We start from the raw sequence: 17,610 nt of genomic DNA, 5'->3' as shown, positions 1-17,610 counted from the left end.
TCTTACCTGAGTCCTTACATTTATTCAAGCAGTTGATTTTCACTTCCCAATGGCAAGCTCAAGAGCTATTATGCGTCTGTTTGTTCACCTGTCGAAGAGGAAAATAAGGTCACTGCTTCGTAGGGTTGATATGAAGAGCAAATGAGACCAACTATTTAAAACACCATGGTGACAGGGGGTCACAAATGACCGGAACACAGCCCTCAAATCTCGGCCGCATTGTTGCCAGTGCAGAAAATCTTTCCCATGAAGGTCATGCCGTTTTAGGGGTGGCTCATAACCAATAATAGTAATAATCGTGAAACAGCCTTTGCAAAATTATGACTGAGACCTAACTTAATCGACTCTATCTTGCTTCTAACCTCCAAGCTGTTCTTGTTCATTCCTAGGCTTAGGCTGAACTAACCTTGGGAGAAACTTAGTTTATAGTTTAAACAAAGTTTATAGTTTTATATAGTTTAAACAAAGTTTATAGTGTAAACAAAGATGGGAACAGCCCTTTCCCAAAGCAGACCTCCTTCTTGCCTGGGGACTAGATTGCCTTTGTAGGACTAACATTAGCCACAGGATTAGAAATTATGGTTTGGGAGTCATGCAGCTGGAGGCTACAAGATTCTGACCCTCCCTAAGCTGCCCCTAAGATCAGGGCTTGAGACGTTTTGCAGACCCTGCACTTGATGAGTCAGCTGGCACCACCCAGATGGATAAACTGGCCCATATGATCTTGTGACCCCCACCCAGGAACTGACTCAGTGCAAGACGACAGCCTCGACTCCCTGTGATTTTATCTCTGACCAATCAGCACTCCTGGCTCACTGACTTCCCCCAACCCAGCAAGTTGTCCTTAAAAACTCTACTCCCTGAATGCTCGGGGAGACTGATTTGAGTAATGGTAAAACTCTGGTCTCCTGCACAGCTGGCTCTGCGTGAATTACTCTTTCTTTGTTGCAATTCCCCTGTCTTGATGAATCCACTCTGTTTAGGCAGAGGGCAAGGTGAACCCCTTGGGTGGTTACCATTGCTGAGGAGTAAATGCCTGACCCGATGGAGCACAGCTCTGACAGGCCATGTGGGCTCCTGAGCACCAACAGAATGGGCTGAGGCCGCCAGGACCACCTCCAAGCTCAACCTCCGTCTCTGCCAGCTTTCTCCCCCTTCTCCCATAGATGTTTATATCAAGGACACTCCCAAATAAATGTCTTGCATGCTAAACTCAAATTTCAGAATCTCCTTCCCCGCAAAAACCAAACTGCAATGTGCACTCAGCACAGAACTTGGAGTGGGACGCCTCTCAGCCACCCATGGTGACTTCCACCACTGCCAGGGCTTCCGCTGCTGTCTCTGTTGACCTCAGCAGCCTTTCCCATGTCAGGCCCTGGGTGAAACCATCCCCCCAGGATTGATAAGAATTGTATACAAGGTTTTGGACAGAAATAGAGTTATGGTTAAGGATGCATCTGGCTGCACTCTGGCTCCTTCCTTGTTGCTAGAAGCCCGGTAGCACCAGGTCCTCACCAGGTGCTTCCCTGTTGTTCCTACAGACAGGATTTAGGACACAGGGTCATGAGACTGTTGAAGGATTGACTTGCATTCCCATTGCTCCTGTCGACAGGACCTCTGACAATCAGCTCATGGGGCTTTTGTTTAAGGATTGCTTAGGATGTTTTTCAGACCACACATTCTAGCAACTAGTGTGTAGGCCCCCACAGAGGAATGAGATCGGCATGAAAATACAACTTCTTCCTCTCTCTGGCCCATGACTTCACCCTGTGCTCCAACCAATCAACAATTTCCACCCTTCAGCCCACTCCAAATCTCTTCAAACCTTAGCCCCGAATTCCTGGCGGAGATGGATTTGAGGTTTCCTCCCATGTCCTCCTTCGGTGGCCTTACGATTAAAGCTCTTTCTCTGCTGCAACCCCGTGCCTCCAGGTGTTGATTTGCTGCATATTTTGGGTAAGGGACCCATTATGGTTACACAGGGAGGCAGTGCCCCCCACCATCCTCTTCGCATTCTGCTGCTGAACAGATGCTTCCTACACGGCTGGTAATGTGGGCCCTCCTGTTTCAAGGTCCCCAATTCAGAAGTCTCATTTTCCCAGAGTGTGCTGTCATGGGACCATGTTCTTCCCTTTGCTCTTGGAGAATAGACAAAGCCACTCAGCCCAGCCACAGCCTGAGTCTTGCCCTACCTCCCTCTCCAGCCTCAACTCATTCCAGGCTCCAGTTCAGCATCTGTCTCTAGCCACACTGATTTTCCTTGAGTTTCCTGTGTTTGCTGTTGTCTCTCCTGCCAGCAACATATCGGGGTGAGGCCATAGCTTCTTTACTTATGTCATTTTTTTGTATGTTTCTTATTTGCTTCAATTCAAACATCTTGTCTCAAATGGAATGCAGAAGGAGAGATGAGATTCCTGCTGTCTTCTATTAAAGAAAACATTATGCATAATTGCAAAAATATAGTACAATGCTGCTATCCTCAGAGTAATTTTCTTTTGAAAAATATATTTTTTCATAAAAATATTTTATGTATATTCACCTTTAATTGGTTTTTGTTATTTTTAAATGAAATATTTTAAATATCTCAATGTTTAATATTGTATTAATATTATATATTAACATCACAATAATAAATTACATTATTGCAATAATGTATTAAATATAGATGCATCTGAGGCATAGAAACAAAACATCTTTGGGGTCCTCAGTAATTTCTAGAGTGTAAGTCACCAGTGAGAATACCTGAAATGGACAAAACATGACAGATCCTATGAAGCTCAGATGTGGGTGTAGCTCTTTCCATCTCTAGCCTCATTCACCTCTGCCTCCTGCCCCAGTGAATGTCATTCTCCAACAAAGTATTTGAAAAGGTATTTTTCTTTGAAAAAAGTACACAGATGGATAGTTAGCAAAGGAAGAGATGCTCAACGTCGTTAGCCATGAGGGAAATGTAAATCAAAACCACAGTAAGGTTATACTTCACAACTACTAGGGTGGCTGTAATTAAAAGACAAGTAATAACTAATGTTGATGAGGATGTGGAGAAATGGAAAGCTTCATAATTCCTGGTGAGAATATAAAATAATGCAACCCCTTTGGAAAACAGTTGGATGTTCTTCAAAAAGCTAAACATAGTTGCTAAATGACCCAGCAATTCCACACGTAGGTATATACTTAAGAAGGATGAAAATGTGTGCACACAAAAGCTTGTACAGGAATTTTCAGAGCAATATAGTCATAATAATCATGGAATGAAAACAACCCAAACGTCTGTCCACTTGAATGCATAAACAAACTATGGTCTATCTAGACAATAGCATAGCACTCATCCATTAAAAAAAATGAAGTACTGACTCATGCTACAGCAAGGGTGAACCTTAACAACATTATGGTAAATGAGAGGATCCTGTCCCAAGAGATCATCATATGTTATGTGATTTTATTTGTATGAAACGTCAAGAACAGGCAAAATTATAGAGATGAAATGTAAATTAGTCGTTACTTAGCACCCGGAGGGTGGAGATGGAGGGTCATGGGAGTGGCTGGCAGTGGGCACAGAGTTTCTTCTTGCAGGGTGAAAATGTTCTAAAATCAGATTTTTCTGGTAGCTGTGAACCTAATAAAACCATTTAATTGTACCCTTTAAATGAACGGTTGTATGGTCTATGAATTATATCCCAATTAATTTGTGAAGTTGCATTTTCAAACATTAGTAACAGTGAGTTATGTTTAAAATTGATATTTTGGGAAATTCAGAGAATGTCCTGGTTAAACTTGAAGTTCTTTACCTCAACATAGCTACCCAATAATATGCTACTAATGAAAACTTAAATCCCATTTATAATTTATTCCTCCAGAGGAGAGCAACTTTAGTCAACAACTTCCTTTTTGTGGGTGAAATAAAAGCATGAAGCAATTCTCTGTCTTCTTCATCTCAGTGTTTTCAATACCTAAATGTCTAAGACAAGTTCCAAGACAAAATATATAAAACCTACTTTAGATATCATAGTATGGACATCTTGTCAAGTGATCATGTTTAAATGAAATTAAATCCTCTTTCCTTCTCACAGTCTTTGAGTATGCTCAGCGCGTGCCATCATGGGGCCATGTTCTTCCCCTTTGCTCTTGGAGAATAGACAAAGCTACCCAGCCCAGCCACAGCCTCATAATCTTGTTCTACCTCCCTCTCCAGCCTCAACTATTTCCAGGCTCCAGCTCAAGTCATACATCAGGTAAGTGGCATTCTGTAATAGCTGTCTATTTGATACTCAATCCCCTTTACTTCTCAAGCTTAAAATTGCTTGAGATGAGAGTGATTGTTTGACCTAAGTTAAATTACAAGTCTACATATAAATCACTGTGAGGCATTTCTTGCCAAACTTTTGTTTATGGATAATAGGAGAGATATGGCTGGCATCATCTCTTTCAGATATTTTTGTGTTGATTAGGATGTGATGGCTTGAGATACAGTGGTCATTTTTCAATGATAAGGAAAAAGCCAAAGGATTCCAAAACATTCTCTTGATTCCTCTAAACTGCTGTACTAACTCTTCCAAAACATTCTCTTGATTCCTCTAAACTTCTGTACTAACTCCAGTAACCTCTAGAAATGCTGTCACATGAGGAAAAACAATCTCTAATGTTTAATCCATTATGATTAATTTCACCGTTACTTGTAGATGAACTCAATTCTGCTTGATAGAAAATAAATATCATAATGGTCTTCCTATTTCCTATTTTTCCATGGATTATACCTTGTGTGTACATCTGCCTCTTCTACTATATTTAAAGCTATCTAGGGATATATTCAAATCTTATTCACCTTTATGGTCTTCAGAGTGCAAAGCAGAGAAAATTGCTATAGTATACTTGCAGAGGTGGCCTTAAGAATACCACGAGTTATCCCAAAATGTAATGAAAACAAAACTAAACAAAACAACTTCAAAAGGACTCACTGTGCCTAGTTCTGAGCATCATTAAATCACAAAATACAATCTCTGCCCTCAAGAAGTTCATGGTCTTCTGAGGAGAAAATGAATTTTTCTAATACAATTAATTTTCTGTAAAACATGGCCATTTACAAATAAGTTGTATCATTTCAATGTTTTCAGCTGTAGCTACAGAAAATCCTGGCTCATCAGACTTCTGCAATGAAGGGTCTTATTCTCTCTCTTAGAAAGCCCGAAGATCCAGTGGCGGGGAGTGGGGGTGCTGAGTTGGCAAAGTAAACAGCTCAGCAATGTCAACTTGTCCCAGGTTCCATTCATCTCTCTGCATGGCCATCCTCCTCAGAATGGCTTCTTCCTTAGACTAGTGGTAAGGTAGCACCTGAAATTCCAAGTGCCATCAAATGAGGTAGGAAGCTCCTCGTAAAGAAGACAGCAGGTAGCTTCCTACATCTTTTTTTTAGAAGAGCAAAGCTTTTTACTAGAATTCCCCTAGTGAAATTCTCCTTATATCTTGTTCATCTGAGTAAGTTCATAGGTTTACACATTCCTGAACCAATGAGTGCAAGGGAACTAGAATACTCCAGGGTCAAGCAGACCTGTCCCGTCCAAGGCTGTGATGGTGAGAAGTGAATCCCTGGAAAATATTATGGCTTAGCTAGGCAGGCCTGAGCAGGCAGTAGATTCTACGTGTGTGACCAACACTTTTCATGGAAGACGTAACAATTCTAGAGTCAGCCACAAGTTAAGTCATTCATGAACATTTCAGAACATTTGAGCACAAATTATATTGGATCTCTTCAAAAATTACAGAGAAACCCTTTATTTGATATGCCAGACGTGTCCAAGGCTGACCCTTTGATTCTCAGAACACATGTGCATTTGTGTGAGCTGTAATGGAAAAAAATAGAAGAATATTTGATATTTTTAATGCATAAAGCCCTTGGAACTGAAATAGGGATTATTTCAGGAAAATTCAGCTTTCTTCGGAATGTTTATAAACCTCTTTCCAAATTTATTCAACAGAATTTTATTGATTTTACAGTATGTGCCAGGCACATATCTTCATTTCAAAATGGAAACATGAAGACTCACATTGCTAGCCATTTCGTCTACATGGAAAATTTGAAAAATCCATGCCATCTGAAACACCACCTCATCAAATACACAGCTATTTGTCATATTCCTATCATTTGACTTTCAGGAGCATCGACATATTTGAGAAATAGACCCCAGTATGAACAAACATGAGGGGTGAAAACCGAAAATAAAATTCTAAGCCCCTCAACCAACTGGAGGGGCTCCCTCTTGGCCAAGGGGATTCCGAAGAAATCTGCAAAACCAGTTCAGGCCATGGCTGGGAGGTGGTGGGTTGGACATACCTGGTTACACCTTCCTCCCTTTGAAGTTCAGGTACAATTGACCAGCATTAACATTAAAACAGAGATCTCAAGACTGACAGAGCAGACTCTCTGTAACATTAAGTTACCAAATTCCAACCCTATCTGTCATATATCACATGACAGATAGCAGGCTCTGAGGGAAATCAAAGTATTTTACCCCAAAATGTATTTATTTGACATGTTTTAGAATGGCCCTGCACAGTTGTCTCTTATGAGGGATATTTGCATTCTGTAGCAAATTCTCTTTCTTTACTAGGTCTTTTCCAGAGAGTCCAGAACATTTTAAAGGTCTGGATAGGAAACATTTGCCATCTATTGCCTCAAAGCATAGCTACCTATGAGACTTCATCTACATAATAAGAACCTTGGTCTCCACAACCCCTTATCTTCAGTCAGACACTCTTTTGTATTAATTCCAGATCTTTAGATAATAACTGTTTCAACCAGTTGCCAATCAGGAAATCTTCGAATCCACCTATGATCCCCAGGTCCCCACTTTGAGTTGTCCTGCCTTTCTGGACCAAACCGATGTAAACCGTACATGTAGTGACTAATGTCTTTTGTCTCCCTAAAATGTATAAAACGAAGCTATACCCCAATCACCTTGGGCACATATTCTCAGGAACTCTTGATACCATGCCTTGAGCCAGCCATGGTCGCTCATATTTGGCTCAGAATGAACCTCTTTAAATATTTTACAGAGTTTGACTTTTTCCATCAATAATGGTGAACATACATTTTCCCTGAGAGAGGGGATCTTTTTAAGTAAAGATGTAATGATTGAAGACCCAGTTTATGGGGAAAACTTGAGTATTTAGAATTTAGGAAATTGAGAAGTATTGATCGTACAGAGCTGGAAGGAAGGTTGACAAAGATACTTAACTGCCACTGTCTCAGACAAAATTGCCAGACTATGCCATGTTCGGTTTCCAACAGGGACCTCACCCACACCTAGCACAACTCCAGGGGGCTCCATTTACATAGAATTCATGGGAATGGACTGCTGCAGATGTGAGTGAGGCTGCCCTGGCCCTGCATCTGCACACTTGGCAGCCCTGAGCTCACACCTCTGGACTGGAAATCCTTTAGGTCCCAATCATCTAGAAGCTGTCAGTCACCAGATTGGCTGTCTGTCCTGGTTAGACCCTGTTACAGCCATTCCAGAGAGGGCCTCCCTGACCAAGACCCCACCCTAGAGTTCCTCTGCCCTCGTGTTGAAATGCTCACCCTCTAACCTGAAGTTAAGCTTTCTTTCTGCTACATTAGAACACTCCTGTCCTTTTGTGAGCAGGTAGTGGAAATGAGCTTGGTGTTCCAGGAGCAGGCACTTAGTCGGTGGCTTCAACTACAAACTGAATTGTTGGTTCTTTTCGTAGTCTGCCTCCACCTCCTCATCTCTTGAATTTCATTAGATCCACATTTCGCTCTGTTCTAACTGAGGTCATTTCTAGAATTTTGAGAAATTTCTAGAAAATACATAGGGTTATCTGTCATTCTGGTTTGAAAAAGTAGAGGAAAGGAAAGTCTGAACTCATTCTATCTCACAATGTAGTTCAGTGGAAAATGCATTATTTCAGAGGCTGGGTCCCCTTGCCCTTCTCTGGGTGCCTGGAGAGAGCTCACAATAACATAAGCAATTTCTATTGCATCTCCTGCCAAAGAGGAACAACTCTAGGCAAGACTGTGGTTGTCTCTATTTAAATTTTTACTAAAATATTTATTCAAATTTAATTTAAATGCAAATGAGTCCCTTTCCACTTGGCTTCTGGATATCCATGAAGGCAGCATATTGTTAGTAGGACCTGGAATTTCTGGTTGGACAATGAATAATTCCAGACTTAAACAGGATCTGCCCAGAGATTTCTCTTCTCACAGGCCTGATCCATCTGACCACTTTCTCAGAACACAATGATGCGGCATCTAATGCACCATTATCTTCGTGACAGCTCAGTACTCCATGTCAAACCACCAAATCTAACATGTGTCTTTCTCATTTAACCCCTGATTGTGTCCTGTGGACTCCATACGTGGTGCTTCTGGACACACAAGGGAAAGGCATGCTTCCATAGTTATCTATTTCAGTTAGGTCTTTCCAAATATTGGTTACATTTTCTGTTCTTCAAGCGATAAAACAATAATATAATAAATAGTAGCAGATTCGTAGAAGCAGGCTTTCTGAGCCAGCAGTAAGGAGGGCGTAGTGGCAAGCTTAGATGAGCCTTTGTGTGGCTGTTGACCAGTGGAAGTTGTCAGTCGTGTGTAATAAATTGCACCTCTTCTCAGTAACCCCCATGCTCAGTTCCCATCCCAACAAATCTAGTGGGACATAAATGTCTTCATTTATTACTTAATTTTTCAAAATAATAGAAACAAAATATTTAAAAATATTTGTAATAAATACAATAACATAAGCACATAGTTTAAAGATTTAAAAATATATTGTGGAATATCTGCCCATTTAAAAAAAAATCTGATTTCCTCACTTTCTAAAACCAACAATAAAGTATTTAAAAATGTTTCAGGCGTTTCCCAATAAGACAGCATACAGCCAAATCGCAGCCCAAAACTTACTTGCTCCTAATTTCATGAATTGCGGAGACAAACAAAAATAGTAAGTTTTTGAATATACTGAGCTTTTGTTTAGTGCCAAGTGATTCGCCCACATTATTTTATCCTAATCTAATTACACTGTACAATATGTTCAACGCCTCTTTTACAGGTGAGGAAATTGAATAGTTAGGAGGTAACATGAATTGTATGAATTTATTTATTTATTTTGAGACAGAGTCTCGCTCTCTTGCCCATGCTGGAGTGCAGTGGCGCAATCTCATCTTACTGCAACCTCCACCTCCCAGGTTCAAGCAATTCTAGTGCCTCAGCCACCCAGGTAGCTGGGATTACATGTGTGCACCACCATGCCCAGCTAATTTTTGTATTTTCAGTAAAGATGGGGTTTCCCCATGTTGGCCAGGCTGGTCTTGAACTCCCAGCCTCAAGTGGTTTGCCTGCCTCAGCTTCCTAAAGTCCTGGGATTACAGGCATGAGCCACCATGACCTGCTGAATTTAGAAAGATATTAAGTAGTACAAGAGCTGATGTTTGAACTTAGGGCACTTCAACCTCAGAGGCTGTAATCTTAGCACCCCTCTACTAAGTCCCTAAAACAAGGTTAGCCCTTGATAAAGAAAGGACTGAGATGAGAGTTCTTTGGTGCCCTCATGAAACAAAATCTAGTTCATGAGATGGGGAGTTAAAGGAGGGCAGGAGACCAATGTTTGGCTTCTTCTTCTCCTAATTAAAAGGCTCCTCGGGAGGCTGAGGTGGGCGGATCACCTGAGGTCGGGAGTTCAAGACCAGCCTGACCAACATGGAGAAACCCCATCTCTACTAAAAATATAAAATTAACCGAGCATGGTGGCACATACCTGTAATCCCAGCTACTCGGGAGGCTGAGGCAGGAGAATGGCTTGAACCCAGGAGGCGGAGGTTGCAGTGAGCCGAGATTGCACCATTGCACTCCGGCCTGGGCAACAAGAGCAAAACTCCGTCTAAAAAAAAAAAAAAATGCTTCTCAATGTGGAATTTGGTGAACCACTAGCGTAATTGTTCTATGTATTTATTTGACAAGTGCCATAATTGTTTTCTTTTAGTGTTTATGACTAAATCATGAAACTCTGTATACTCAAATGTATTCCAGAAAAAAAAACATTCAAAATATGCTATTAGGATATTCAATAAAATATTTAAATATTCGCAATATTTAGAAAAGAATATGTACATTCTTCTGACTGCTCTGAAAGTTGATTTTCCATGTTGATCATGACAATGAAGTGGTTTGGAGGGTCCTCTGGCTGAAGGCAATTTAGAAACTTCATCCTGAATTGCATGCTTTTTGCAGATGTTAATGAGTGGATTGTTGTTTTGGGTTATAATTATAATTTCTGGGAATATGGCCAGAAATGGAATGCAGTGCTGAAGGTTGGCCTTTTCCTCCTCTGGACCCTCCTTCATAAATTGGTTTATTGGAAATATTTCTAAAGCAAAATAGAGACAAAAGGGTAGGGGTATAGTATTCACAAACTAGTGAGATAAATCTTGGATGACTTACATGTAAACATTGATGCGTCAACTTGATGACCTCTGTAGTCTCTGGATATTCTCAGGTAGCCTTTGTAGGGAGAGAATACAATTCTTAATGCTAAGACCTGACCGTATATTTTTGCTAATTTCTCTTCTTTCCTCATTGAACACCAGGATGGCTTTTCTATGCAGATAACTTGACACACAGAGCCCAACTTTGGTCCTGAATTCTGAGAACCACAGTTCAGAATAGACGCTAAAACGTCTCAATGTTAGCAGCCTTCCCCTATGACTTTATGAAGTGCAGCCCTACAGGAGAACTCAGGAAGCCACATCTTCCATCTGTCACCTTCTGACTGTTGATCCTGTGAGTTCACAGGCCAGGGGGATGCTGGTGAGGACCCTTTTCACTGGGACTCCCAGGTGTTCCTGACAGAGACAGACTTGGAGACACCAGTAGTCTGGTGAGAAAGGGGCTTAATGTCATGAAGTATTAAAAAATCTAATATATTCAAAAATTTACGAGAGAATATTTTGGAAGGAAACTTCAAGAAATGTAGAAGAGAGGGAGAAGAAAGAATCTCTGAAAGTCACCTCTTTGGGTGGAATTTTCTCATTTCTATATTTGTGGTCACCATTGTATACTGGTAACAAGATTTCTTGCCATAAAAATTTCTCAGATGGTGAAATTATTTACAATATGGATACATTTATTTCTTCCTGTGTGCCTTTGTTTGTTTAAACATTATTTTTGAGTACTTAATGTGAGTCAGTCTTACTCTAGATACCAGTATTGTGGAGTTGATCAAGACAGAGAGGACTCTCATCCCCTATTACTTAATTTTTCAATAGGATCAACATAAAATACTTCTAAATAGATGTTTATAATAAATATAATGACATAAACACATAGTCTGGAGATTTAAAAAATATAATAGACTATCTGCCCATAAAAAATATAGCTGATTTCTCTACTGCCTAAAATCAACAATAAAGCATATCCAAAATGTCCCAAGACTCTAAAAAGAGTTATATTTTTGTGAAAGGAGACAGGCAGTAGATATATAGACGATGATATAATTTTAGGTAGTGATAACTGCTATAAAAATAAAACTGGATGATATAATAGAAGATAATTAGGGAATTAGGGCTAGCTTAGATAAGGCTCTAAGGAAAATTCATGCACTTCATTTATTAAACACAGATATAGTCCAATTTTCTCCTTCTTGTATCAGATTCATTATATATTCTCAGTAGTTTTCTAGGAATTTGGCTATTACCTGAATTTTTTTCTTTAAAAATAATATTGTTTATATTATAAATTTCTTATTTTAAATGTGCATAGGATCTTTAATGATGCCCTATCTTCATTGTCAATATTTGCAATTTATTCATTCTCTTACTTTCCTTCATCAGTCTTCCTAGATTCAAATCAATTTCATTAGTCTGCTCAATGAAATACCTTTTGCATTTGGTGATTTTTTCTATTGTATATTTCGTTTCTATTTCACATATTTCTGTCCTTATTTTCTTCCTTCGGTATTTTCTACTTTTAAGAGAAGTTACTTTCTGCGACTTGCTGGTTTTTGAAAATAACATCATGGCATGAATATTTAGTTCATTGATTATGGTATCTTTCTTTTTTTCTGGATGAATATTTTCATTCAAAGCTATTATTCCACTCTCTGCATCCATTGTGCATTTATTCCTGGGCTAGGGCCCAAGTAGAGGCTAAAGAAAATAGAATATGAAGAAGTAGAACACCTTTGTTGCTCCGTAGGACCTCTCTGTCTGGCAGTGGACACAGGGCTTGTGAGTCCTGCATAATGAGATCATATACGATGGACTGCCCTGAGGATCAGACAGATACTTCACTCACATTTCCATGGCTCTTGAAGGAGAACTTCCAACTTGATGGATTTTATTACTGCCCTGGATTTGACAGGTCCCCTGTTGGTGGGGAATTGAAAAGGAGCATTTCCTGCCTTTCCTAAGTCCCTCCACAGTCTATGGGCCCTATGCTCACACAGACCCCCATGGAAACCCACCCACAGTCTGCACTCCCCCGTTCCCAGCTGCACAGACAGATCAACATGCAGAAACAGATGCACACAATGATGCCAAACTCAGGTTCCAACCACGTATCAAGAAAGATGAGAAATTCTGAAATAGTATCCTGAATCTGCTATGCATGGGTTTTTCAAAAGAAATAATACTTTTTTTTCACAATTATTGAAATCTTTTATTTGCTTTAAGACTTTAGAAGCTTTGAGAGGTGAGGAAGAAAGATTCTTGGAGGTGTATTATCTTTGAAAAATCAATTGTGCTGTTACCTCTATTCCCTCCAAAGGGAGAGAAAGTGCCCATCTTCTTATCCCAAACCCCCCAAAGGAAGAGGATCCAACAGGGCGGGCTATTTGTAGGCATTAAGATGCAACCCCTATGACTGGGGGAGATGGTGGCCTGAGTATGATTTTCCAGGGCAGTGAAAGGGAGATGTGCCTATAAAAGCTTAGCTCTGGGGAGCAACCCTGGGCTTTCAGATTTTCCCAAGACCAGAGACACAGGTATGTTTTATCTCTAAGCAAGGCAAGTGATACAATCTACAAAGACATTGGCACAAAAGTTGAAGGCATTTTAATTTTTAGCATCAAAGAATAAAATAAAACAAAGCGAAGAGCACATGAAAAGAATAGTCACCTTTTCTTTGGAAATGAAGCTGATGAGAATATCAGAAGGAACATGCATTGCTCAGTAAGTTGTTTTCCTGCAAAGGTTCCTAATCATCTCAACAAATCATAGTTCTATTAATTTGAAATTGATGTAAAGTTGGAGGAAGAATCAGGTCTAGGAATACGTGTGTGTGTGTTCACTTTTTCTTATAAATGCCTCCAGAAAGATACAGCTCAGCAGGACATCCAAGATGATTGCTTATGTAAAAATTCTAATCCAACTTGTATTAGGCCATTCTTGCATTGCTATAAAGAAATACCCAAGATTGGGTAATTTATAAAGAAAAGAGGTTTAATTGTCTCACACTTCTGCAGGCTGTACAGGAAGCATAGCTCTGGCATTAGCATCTGCAGAGGCCTCAGGACGCTTGCAATCATGGCAGAAGGTGAAGTGGGAGCAGGGTTTTACATGGTGAAAGCAGGAGCAAGAGAGTTGGCAGGGGGAGGTGCCATACACTTTTAAATGAGCAGATCTCCTGAGAACTCACTATCATGAAAACAGCACCAAGCCATGTGGGATCCACACCCATGACCCAAAAACCTCCCACCAGGCCCCACCTCTAGCACTGAGGATTACAATTCAACATGAGATCTGGGTGGGGACGAACATCCAAAATATCTCACAATTATTATATACTGGGTCAAGTACAGTATATGAGGTTTACCAAGAGAAGTTTGGCTAAAAGTGTCAATATCTCACTAGATAAAAATCTCAGGCTTCAAGGGGCAGTGCGTTGAAAAGAAAAGCCTTATTAAGATATAATTCAGTCTCTACTGAAAATACAAAAACTAGCTGGGCGTGGTGGTGCCCGCCTATAATCCCAGCTACTTGGGAGGCTGAGAGGCAGGAGAATTGTTTGAACCCAGGAGGCAGAGATTGCAGTGAGCCGAGATCCTGCCACTGCACTCCAGCCTGGGGACAGAGCCAGACTCTGTCTAAAGAAAAAAAAAAGATATAATTCACATAACATGCAATTCATTGCAATGCAATTGGCTTTTAGTATATCCACAGAGTTATGCATTCATCACATGACCAATTTTAGAACATTTTCATTACCCTAAAATTAAACCCCACATCATTTAGCTGTTGATGCAGGATTTTTCTCTGCCCACTTTGCCAGACTCGTGGAAGGGATGCCCATCTACTCAGTCTGCCATGCTCAACCCTCTGCAGAAGGGAACAAGTGAGTGAGCAACAACGAGATCTGGCTGACTGCTTTGGGCGTCAACACAGGAGCAAGCTCTGAGTGAGACCTGGGGCCAGTCCAGGCATGTCACCTTCAGGGGAATGTGGCAGCGCCCAGGTGAGGGTGCCCATGACCCTGAAGCCTGAGAGGAGGTGTTGCAGAGCTCCTTTAGTTCAGCCGTCCACAGGGTGTTAGCAGCTCAGTTGGCCCCTTGCCTCATCCATGGGGTGGTTGCCCTCTGCCAGCAAAGGCAAAGGGCTTGTGTGACAGCCTTTCTGGGTACCCACACTCAGTGGGTCCTGAGCTCTTGTCTGACATCCAAGAAGAATGAAGTCATGCAGACAATTGAAGGATGGTGGAGGTGCAGAATTTTATTGAGTGAAGAAAACAGCTCTCAGTGGAGAGGGAAGCTGGAGAGGGGACAGGAAGGGCAGGTCGTCTTCCCTGAAGTCAGGTTGTCCCTTCCCCAAAGTCAGGTTGTCTCTTCCCTAAAGTCAGGCCATCTCCTTCCCTGAAGTCAGGCCATATTCTCCTCTACTGACTGAGTCTGGGAACTTTATAGGCACAGGATGGGGAGTGTGTGCTGATTGGTTTGTGAGTATGCAAAAAAGGTTAAAGTGAAGACACCATCCAAAGGTTGGCATGATAGTGTAGAAAACCAATTAGGCAAGGGTAGCTATATGTAAAATAGGTGAAGGGTGGGCATGAATCAGAGGAAAGTGTGCCAAACAGGAAGACAAGTTCTCAATCCAGTCCAAGGATTTAACTTGTAGCCTGGCTTTCAGGCTTTCAACTGTCTTCGGCTTGGAGATGGGGTCATGGGCTCCCACCCCTGTCTGTCTGGGCATTTGGCTGCCTCCTGCTGCTATCACTGTCACTCCCAATCTTCTCATTCACTCATCACTCCTGCCCTAAATAACCATTAATCTACATTTTTCTCTAGATTTGCCTAATCTGGATCTTTCATACACATGGAATCATATAATAAGTAATTTTTTGTGACTGGCTTCTCTCACTTAGTGTAATAATTTAAAGATTCTTTCCTGTAGCATAAATCAGTGTTTCATTCCTTTTTATTGCTAGGTAATATTTAACTGTATGGATATACAATTTTATGTATCTTTCAGCTGATAGGCATTTGGGCTATTTCCACACTTTGGCGATCATGAGCAATTCTGCTGTGAATATTTATGTCCAAGGTTTTGTGTGGATACATGTTTTCATTTCTATTGGGACATAAACAACTCTTTTAACTTCTTGAAGGACTTCCAGGCTCTTCCAAAGTAACTGCAGCTCAAAAACATGCAGGGCTTTGTTTTTGTCACTGCTGGATCCCCAGTGTCTAGAACAGAGCTTGACACATTACAAGCCTCACAACACATGACTTGAGTAAAACAAGTAAATTCCACATCTTGTATTCCTGAACACTAACATGTAATATCAACATTTTTCATGCATTCTCTTGGAAATTTAAGCAAGAATTGCACAAGGGATTTTGAAAACTAAACACTTCTCATTTTAAAATGGAAATAAATACCTACCTTCCAATAGAGTTATTACAAGGCTGAAATGTGGTTATATACATGAAAGCGGCTTGAAAATTACCAAGTATTATAGAAATGCCAGTTGCTGTTACTATTTTTATTCAAGTTGTTTTTGTTAGGATTATCACTCTTCCTGTTCACAGTCCAGAACCAGACTCAAAGGCACTGAGTCACTTCCACAGTTATATTTGTTCCCTTAGTGTTTCTTGGCAGTGGGGTATGCAGCTATATTGGTAATATTTGCTCAGTTTATTCATACTGATCGCATGCATAATATAGATTGCCCTAAGACCACTCTCCTTGGGGGCTGATATTTGCCAGTCTCCCCTCCAAATCTATTCCTAACCCTAGTGCACCCTGCACTACTCTAACCTGTAGGCTGACCTTTTCATATCGCAGCACCTGGCTTCCTCTGCTCTCTGGCTTCTGGTTAGATTTTCTGATTGGAGACGCTGGGTTTTCAGGGTCAAAAGAAGAGAGAAGTCAAGAGATTTATTACCCTCCCTCTCTCCCTGCTCTCCAAGACTTGGCATCGTCTGTGTTCCTTTTATGGAGGCCACAGCTTCCATGGCTTCAAATGCCAAGGTCTTCTTAATGCCAAAGCTCCTGTGTGGTGTGGCAACTGTCCCCTCCTCTTGTTCGTTTGGTTGGAGTAGTGGTACGGAGTTAGTGTAATGGCTTCCCACTGTTGCTAGGACCTGGGTGCAGTGCCATCTCCCATTTATTTAATGTTGTCCAATCTATTGAAGTACTATCTTTATTAAATTTATTAAATTCAGTCCCATTTTGAGTGTACCATGTGTTTCCTGTGAGGACCCAACTAATAAACTAATAATAATAATAATAATAACTAACACTTACTTTGCACTCTTTACATGCCAGGTTCTACGGGGTGCATTCACACACAAGCTGGTTCACTTTGTCCTCACAGTGACTGAACGAGATTGGCACTCTTTCTGTAATTCCCATTTTGCAGATGAAGAAACTGATCCTCAGAGAGCACCCCTGACTCCCACCAGGTCATACAGCTAGTAGCTAGCAGAACCAGCGTTTAAACCTCCTTGGCTTGCATATAGGATCCATGCTTCAGCCCATCTGTGGGGTTCCAAGTTATGACATGAGAATGGCTCAGGCTGGTGACTTTCCTAAGCAAAATGTTGGCAGTGGGATCCATGACACTATTTAGCTTTTATTATTCATCATTAATTGTAAGAGTGCATGTTCAATGTCACTAGCTGAGGTTCTCAAGCTTGCACAGGGAGACTTTCAATTAATCCACTAAAAAAGCTCTTTGTGCCACAACTAATGCATGCCTATTAATGTGTGATTACTGTAGAAGGCCCAGTGTTCTTTGTCTGAGACGATGTGAAACTGACCAGGAGCGGGGATGATTTAGACACAATCAGAGTGCATTACACAAGCTCATTTTCACGTTAATAGGAACAATAAAAGGCTTCTCACCATATTTACACCCAGGCCTTCTCATATTTTAGAATAAAAGCAGGTTATAAAAGAAGTTGTTCTACACAGCACATTTACTATTTTCCAGAGCTATCTGCAGCTTCCTGCAGTGCTGGCAGAATGCAAATAGCCCCCATAATTTGTTAGGGATTTTTAAAATACATGTGCAGTAAATTAGATTGATTAGTAGCTTTATTAAATTGTATGAGTCACAATTTTAGGATTTAATAACAATGCTCACATATTAAGAAATTGTTC

General features: G+C 40.7%; 2 long non-coding RNA genes across 2 annotated transcripts in view, besides 1 other annotated feature; one reads left to right on the top strand and one right to left on the bottom strand.

Annotated features, from left to right (window-relative positions):
* LINC00508 (long intergenic non-protein coding RNA 508) overlaps positions 1-17,610 on the top strand; it is a 99,903-nt gene that overhangs the window by 39,086 nt on the left and 43,207 nt on the right. Inside the window, exon 3 of the long non-coding RNA NR_126452.2 lies at positions 4,071-4,232. This is a non-coding gene — a long non-coding RNA (long intergenic non-protein coding RNA 508). The remainder of the gene's footprint in view (positions 1-4,070; positions 4,233-17,610) is intronic.
* Positions 1-17,610, bottom strand: part of LINC00507 (long intergenic non-protein coding RNA 507) — a 36,143-nt gene that overhangs the window by 6,747 nt on the left and 11,786 nt on the right. Inside the window, exons 2-3 of the long non-coding RNA NR_046392.1 lie at positions 10,457-10,516; positions 7-88 (exon numbers count right to left, since the gene is read on the bottom strand). This is a non-coding gene — a long non-coding RNA (long intergenic non-protein coding RNA 507). The remainder of the gene's footprint in view (positions 1-6; positions 89-10,456; positions 10,517-17,610) is intronic.
* Positions 628-922: an enhancer, noted in NCBI's record as "tiled region #13079; K562 Activating DNase matched - State 9:DNaseU". NCBI's record gives its function as "activates a minimal TATA promoter and a strong SV40 promoter by Sharpr-MPRA in K562 cells {active_cell/tissue: K562}" and the evidence as "EXISTENCE:reporter gene assay evidence [ECO:0000049][PMID:27701403]".

The sequence above is a fragment of the Homo sapiens genome, chromosome 12, assembly GCF_000001405.40.
Source record: "Homo sapiens chromosome 12, GRCh38.p14 Primary Assembly".
In the NCBI taxonomy this organism is placed as follows: Eukaryota; Metazoa; Chordata; class Mammalia; order Primates; family Hominidae; genus Homo; species Homo sapiens.
The sequence above is the reverse complement of the archived record's forward strand: the minus strand, read 5'-3'. Positions and strand labels throughout refer to the sequence as shown.